General features: G+C 37.2%; 1 annotated feature.

The window, feature by feature from the left end:
* Positions 3,307-5,413: an enhancer, noted in NCBI's record as "VISTA enhancer hs1726". NCBI's record gives its function as "enhancer in: hindbrain (rhombencephalon)[4/6]" and the evidence as "EXISTENCE:transgenic organism evidence [ECO:0001131][PMID:17130149]".

Genomic DNA, 8,093 nt, shown 5'->3' with positions numbered 1-8,093 from the left:
AAAGATAAATAGTATAAGTAGTTTTACACATTTAAAATTTTGGCTTTTAAAAATGTACATAAAAAAGAAACATCTGTAGATGACTAGTCAAGAAAGAAGAGTAATTGCAAATATTTTTTACCATCAGGAATGATAAAAAATTCTCAAGTAAATTTTCCTGATATATTTTTCTAAATAACAGGTAGAGAAACTGAGTAGAGCAAGAACTATGAAAGAAATGGTTTCCAATAAATTATTTCAATAAAGATTAGTCCCAGACAGTTGTCTCAGTAAGTCTGATTATATATTTCAGTGTGAGCTAATTCCATTTCAGTGGAAATTCTTCCCAATTCATCTTAAAAATGAAGCATAAATTTTAGAAAGCAAAACAAAATTAAAACCACAGACCAATTTTACATAAACACTAAAACTCAAGCTTTAATAGAAATGATTGTCTGAGTTCTGAGAGTCGATAAACCATAATTTAACCATTTACGCTGCTATAGCTTGAGATAGATGACAAATATTCAAACCATGCCCCATCTTAACCAATTTCATTCTGAGATCTGACACTTGCACATTCTGCTTCTACTTACTAAGTACAGGGTTCATTTGATTGCAAGTGACTTTCAACTTCTGTGAGCAGAAAGGGAAATTATTGACTCACGTAATGGCAAAGTCCAAGGATACAGTAGCTGCAGAAATGGCTGGATCCAGGGATGCAAGAAATGGCAATAGATTGGGCAACCACATATGGTTATTCAGTGTGTGCACTGTACATATGCACCCAGCCACACTCTACTCTCAAAATCATGAGCTGCATTCATCCAGAAGCGCAAGACTATTCTCCTTTTCATGAAGGTGCTGTTTATTTGCCAAATGGGAACTCACCTAAAGAATACACGTTTTTCCAATTATCAGAAATTCTCCTTTATAGGCAGGCAAAGGCGCCACTCACAGGGCTCAGCTTGACTCCCTCCTTCTCTTTTTTCCTACCCTGTGTGATGGCTTTTATCTCACACAGGCTGTCTATATAGTACCTATGATGCCACTAGACAAAGCTTGCTTTGTCCTTGGTGCTGGAAATCCGAAAAAGGAAGTATATATCTGACAATTCTATTTTTTAAATCCCTCTAAAAGTTCTCATTGACTAAACCTGGGTGATGCTACCTAGTTAACAACATTTCAATGACATAGATTCAGAGTTGGACAAAGTGGTACTCACTGAAAACTTAGGATGTTATTACCAAGGATGTAGTTAGGGATGGTAGGTAAATGAATCTTACAGATACTCTTCCCTTTTCTTTTATTAATCATCAAAATCATTATCATTTTTTGTTACATTTGCATACCAGTTTACTGGCTGGGTTTTCCTCACAGTTAATGGAAATACCAAATGAGATATTCTGGAAAACATTGCCGTATAACAGAGCTGTGAACAGATACAAAGACTATTTACACAGCCAACTTTATAGACACACACACACACTGCCTTGATGCTCAGCATTGCCAGGTATAAAACTATAAGTTTCATCTTGGTATTTTTGTTTGGCTTAATATTTCTTCATTTACAGAGCTATAATGCAGCCAGCTGCTTCCTCTACTGCAGATACTTAAAACTCTGCCAAGAGAACTTTACTTATTAAATTTAAATATGTGGGGGTTTGTTTTGTTTTGTTTTGTGTTTTGCTTTTGGTATATACTGCAAAACTCGTTTTTTTTTGTTCTAAATTGTTAAGTCGGACTTTTTTTGTGTTTGAAACAACATCATCTGGTTCAGTCTTGATACTGATTTTGGGGAAAAAGCAATAATTCTTACACTACCATAATATTACTCCTGTTTCCAAATTTTCTTTTTAATTGCTGTTCCAATACATTCGGGAAAGGTAAAACTTGATTTTCCTGTAGTAAGGAGCCCCTTGTTACACCACATTATTTTGAATAGACTGCAAGAAATAAAGTAAAGGAATCCTAGCCCCGAATTTAAGACTCATCTTTGTAAATGAAGTCCCCTTTATCCCACACCTAGAGATCTGTGATCCATTAGAAATCCAAGTTTGGAGCAGTCATCTCTTATTGCTGGGGATAAAAACTTTCAGAGTCAAATCACAAAGGCAGGCATCACTTCACAGTCAACAGACAAATGGCCCATTGAGGGGGATGTGTGAGTGTGTGTGTGTGTGTGTGTGTGTGTGTGTGTGTGCATGAGAGAGAGAGAGAGAAAGAGAAAGAGAGAGAGAAAGGAAGAGGAGAAAGAGAAAAAAATTAACCAAAGTCATAAAGTCAGAAAATAAATGCTTGCCATTGTTACGCTTTTCGGATGACTTTGGAGAACCTTAAATATAAGTATTTTCTTTGATTTACCTTATTTTATCATTTACCTTAATTGGACAGAAAGAAAAGATAGCTAATTAAATTTTCAACTCTGGGAAACAAAAACGAAAATAAACCTCACTGTGGGAAAAGACGGCATGATGCAATATTAGTGATGGCATAACGAAGAGAGTTAGTTAAATGATGCTTTCAACTGACCCTGCACTTACTTCTGAGCATCAGAATGTCCAGATCTGTGCTGAGAAAAACCAGCGTTATAATAATAATGGAAAGTAAAACCTCAAGTTCTCTGTTTGCTCTGTCCCTAGTAAGCACTAAGTCACTTGGCAAACGTCTGTGCCTTCTTTTCTTCTATAATGAAATGGAAAAAAACCCTGCCTATTCTACCTTCTGTGCCTGAGGTTTGTTTTAAAACTGAAATTAGCTAATAAAAACACATGTTCAAAACTGCAGGGGGCTAAGATATGAGGAGAGTCAAGTTACATGCTTTTTTACAAATGCATTGAAGATGCCTCAGCAATATGGAAGAAGGACTGAAAGGTGCTCATTTAAAATGCAATCACCAAGAGTTTAGTAATATTGGGCAAAAAAAAGTCCCTTAATGTTGTCCACGTTAAGAAACCACGTAATGTCCCAATGACTTTCCATCAAAGGCTCCTGCAGAAATGGCAAAATTTGTGTGACATAAGTCAATTACAATTGATCCACAGGATCAGATTAAGTCCTAAACTCAGCACATTCTGGGTGGTCAAGCACTCTGGCCATGCTGCAGTTTCATGGGACTCCCAAAGTGTGTCCTTTGCCAGAATCAATTCCCGCTTCACCTGCTCTCCTATAGATGGCATCAACACTTTTCATTGTGTGGGTGCCATCTTTAAAGCACTTTTCATAAACTTTGCACTATTTGATTCTCACAACTGCCTGTAGAGAAGGAAACAGACTTTAAAAACAAGGAAAATGAGACCCAGCCAGAGTATTTTGCCCTTGATCATACAGCTTGTGTCCCAGCCAGAAGTGTATTTCTCATGCTCTTTCAGCCCATAAGAGAGGGCACAGAACTTTTTTTCTCAGTGATAAAATGTATTAGGGCTATCTTCACTATTTGATATTAACGCATGAGAGAGACGGGTGTTCATCCTTAGGATCCCTCCTCCAGCAATCATAACAATGCCTGGGAGATTTCTGGCACTCAGTATGTGCTTGGCTATTTTAATGTTTTAAATGGTAAACACAGCATTTTATCAACACATTGCCTCATTAAGTAAGAGAATAAGAACAGGCACCACCACCGCCCCGAATGTTTGTTGAACTGAGACATCCCATGAAATCCTAGAAGCTGGTTTTCTAGGTAGTAAATTTCAGTTTCATTCTCCCCTCTGTTTTTCTTCCTTCTCCATCCCTCGGCCCCATTCCTGCAGCAGTAATTTTCCCTCAACAGAAAAAACGGCTGTGGAGCAGTCTGCTCATATTGAAGAAATGTCTCTGCTTTTAACATCTTGACTTCAGCACAGGTTTTCTTTCTCAGAGCTGTCTCTTCCCAGTTTCCCTGGGCTAACTTTGCCTAATTTTTATCATAGTAATTGTCTCGGTAAAAGAACATTCCCTACCTCTGCAAATATATCACGCTGTATTTGCTTCTGTTTATACAGATCTTTTCTACATGATGGTGGAGGCATTGTTATTTATGTGTGTGTGTATGTGTGCGTGTATATGCACAATTAATTTTTTTACCACACAAATCTCTCCAGTTTTCCATCTTTTCAATGAAGCTTATTTAAGACCTGCAGGCAGATTATATTAATGCTTCATCAGACTTCCATTGTCCAGGCAACAGACAATACTCTGAATGAGTCCAAAAGAAAATCACTACCTGCTGATAGCCAGGGTAGATCTCACTTACCAGATGTCTGGCATTCATTGTTGCGAACTTGTTTAATTTCTGCACCCAGCAATGACAGTGTTTTGATCCTTCAAAGCAGAATGTGCTCTGTACCAATTGATTCCAAATGGCCTCTCTTTAGATTGAATTTTTATTTTATTTGGTTGAATGACTTTGTTTCATTTAAACCTGTATTTATGTGGAAAATTCAAATAATGCGTTCCAATTTGCATTTCAAAAAAAGAATCTTTGTGTTTATGAAATCACTTCTGAGTTGCAATTACAGTTATTTGTCTCTGGGATGTACAACACGTAATTGGGTCAACACTGTTAATGAGGGACTAGTGTTATTGTTAATGAGCTACTAGTGATAGTTTCAATGTTTCATCCCCAGCAGGTGGTAAATACAATATGTTAAGATAGATAATTATGTTAATGTTTCAAATATTCACAGACCAAAGATGTCATTAAAGACATGCAACTATGAGGTGAAAAGGTACAAATACATGAAGTCAAGTTTAAAAGGTACAAATACATGAAGTGAACTCTACCTTATCCAAAGGGTATTAGTCTTTCCTTCATAGAAACTTCACTGTATATCTCAGTGTCCAGGTCCTGTTAACTCGTAGATCTTCAAAATAGCAAGAAGGCTGCTTTCAGCTGGTTTCGGATGCTGTCAACTTGGGCAAGTACTGATTTTAACAGTTGGCCTTGAAATGATTAACTTTGTAGGATGAACATCATTCAGGTATTCAACACAATCTTAATTGTTCCATCCTGAGAAAGTCATTGTGTGGAACACTTACAATAAAAAACAGGCTGTTTCCCGCTAACAAAACATTTACAAACCATTAGAGAGGCAAGATGTATATATGTGAAATAGTTGGCAAGGCATAAGTACCAAATATGTAATAGAGACAATCAGGAACTTGAAAGAAAGAAAATGTGGACAGGAGTAGATGGAAAAGTCTTTATTGAGAAGAAAGTTTATGTCAGTTAGAGATGCTTTTGCTTGCAAGTACAGAATGCTTAATTAACATTGGCTTTAATAGTGAAAGCATTTAAATCTCTCACATATAAAAAAATTGAAGTTAGGAAATTCTAGGTTTAGAGCAGCAGCTTAAGGGTGTCATCAAAGACTCAAAATCCTTTCAGTCTTTTCTGCTTTGTTCAAAATGTCAGTAACATATAATATATTGTCACCAGATAACTTCTGCAGCTCTGCTCATTACATCTTCATCTACAGCCATCCCTGGCAGAAAGAGAATGGGGAAAAAAAGGAACTTCTTCTAAGCCCGTTTTAGAAAGGAAGACAAAAATATTCCCGCAGTCCTCAACAGATTTCCCTTCACATCACATTGGTGAGAACTGGACCTATGTTCTCCCTCTGAAGCAGCCGCTGGTGAAGGAAAACAAATCAGGATTGCCAAAAAGGCTTAGACCAGCCACAGATGACTGAGTTGCACCTGGAAGATCTTGGATCCACAAGCAACAAAACCAAATCAGGATCCCAGTTTGAAATGAAAAAGAGGGCAAGTGCTAAGTAGGGAACCAAACACTGAGCCAGGCTTCCATTTCCAGACCGTGGTTTCCATAGGCAGAATGGAAACCAGAGGCTGGGGGGCTGAGGCTGGAATGGAAGTAAATCACCAAATATTCTGCAGTCAAGTTCCAAAGCTGGTTTAAGAAGAACAATAACTATAGATTTGAGGAAATACAGGAGGAAGAAATACTAAAGAAGCTTCCGGTGGGTTTTGCAAATTACCTCTTGGCTTAGGATACTTTTGTCATGTAGTGTCTGTGATAGCTGTCAGATGATAATGTTGAAGTAGCTCAGAACATCAAATGTTACATGTGAGACAAATTTACCTAGATGGCTAGATTCTGCCAGCGAATCATAAAACTTTGGCCTCATTAACATCACTGGCCCATACCTAAACATTCACTGGAAAATTACTAGGAAAGCTTTCCAAAAATAAATATTCCCAGACTCCACACCAGGCCTTCTGAACCAAACCTCAACAGCTGGGCCCATGTACATCCCGGAGAGTGCTGTTAAGGCCACAAAAGCCAACAGATTGCTAGTTGTGGCAGTCAGCTATCATCAGGCTGTACCACGGTTACAACCTCAAACCCTGAGTGGATCACACAGCATGGGTTTATTTCTTAGTCACAGTGCACGTCAGCTGTGGGTTGACTCATTCTGTGGCTCTGCTGCATGTTTCTTCTACATGCTGACGATTGACTCCAGTGTTTCTCAACCCATTTCTACTCTTTTTAAAATATGTTTATGTACTTTATGTATATCTCTACTCTCATTTTTTTGCCAATTCCCCCACCCAAGAATCAATTATACGCCACTGAGGGCAGTATCACCCACATTGCAAATCTATAGTCTGGGCTGAAAAAGTAACGTCCATCCGCATCTCATGGAAAGGAGAAAACACTGGTGGGTAAACCATGCGATGCTCTCAGGGGTTCTGGTTGAACATGGCTCCTGTCCTGTCTGCTCATATTCTAACCACTGGCCAAATCAAGTCACGGGAACATGCTTAATGTTAGTGTGGTCACGAAGTATTCTCCTCCCATCAGGAAGGAATGGATGTTGCAAGATAATTTACAGGAATGGCAGATAAACATTTCAATCAGTAACACAATCTGCCACCCTGCATGTCCTTAAGGGATGTTAAAACAAAATAGAAATTTTATTTGCATGTTCCCATCAGAGCCATTATCTATCCATCTACTGTACCAATAAGATGCTACATATCACACTGCATCAAGAAACATGTAACCAGAGTGGGGATAGGGAACTATAATGCTAGCACAGTTTGAGTTTTTTAGTTTGGAGAAAAATGTAAAACTGAAAGGGGGTAATATCAAAGACCAAAAAAAAGAGATAATAGTCATACCTTGGGCTTATATGATACAATAGATTTGAGAAAGAATAGAATACTAGAACTAGAAATACCATAAAATTTGGAAGAAATTATCATAGAACAAATGAAAGAAGGTGTCATTTTATTCATTTGCAAAATATCTACTATATTCTAGTTGTGTGCTAATTCCTAGATTCACAGTTAAGATAACACAGAACTATCAACCAGGCACTTGATCTCTACTCAGATTATAGCCTAATATGAGGAAAGTGGGCTCTTTTTTTCAAAAAGAAGAAATTTTCAAAATTATGAAAATATTTTTATTTATTAATCACCTTTGATCCCAAAGATAGAAGAGGGACAAAATAACCTCTGCTCTTTTTACTTATTGTTTGTTTTCTAATGACAGAATCATATGGTGAAATGTACAGAGACATGCATTTGTTAACCCTAATCAATCTATTATTGTATAATTGGTTTTCAGTCATGGATGACCTCAAACACTGTTGTCTATAAAAGACTTTTAAAACAGATAAATATCCAGGTTCTTAAGCCCTGCCTTAACACTTCTAATGTATGGCCTTTTTCAAAGACACAAGTGTCCCTTATTAGTAGTTTACAGACTCTGATAAGAAAATAACACAAAGTCCAGAGCAAATATATAAGGAAAAATGAGCAAGTTCTCCCCTAGTCCTAGGGCCACTATAATTATGCCAAAACTTTACAAGAGTTCTCTCTCTCTTCAACTTCCAAAATCTCTCACTGAAACAAAATGTATGTGTGGGAATCAGTTTCTTTGTGGACAGGACAATAGTTGCATTGAACAAGAAATGCTTTTTTAATGGAACTTTACATTTGAATACTTGTACTAATATTTCCTAAAATGCACTGATAATAATAAATAATAATAAATGATAAGTTATCTCAATTGTTACCTTCTCTGAGACATGGAGATTGAAGTTTGTGAAGAATGTGGAGGCACTAAAAATATTTGCCAAGCATCAGTTCATTACTGTAACCAA

This window comes from Homo sapiens, chromosome 18 (assembly GCF_000001405.40).
Source record: "Homo sapiens chromosome 18, GRCh38.p14 Primary Assembly".
Lineage (NCBI taxonomy): Eukaryota > Metazoa > Chordata > Mammalia > Primates > Hominidae > Homo > Homo sapiens.
This window is presented reverse-complemented; position numbering and strand designations above follow the sequence as displayed.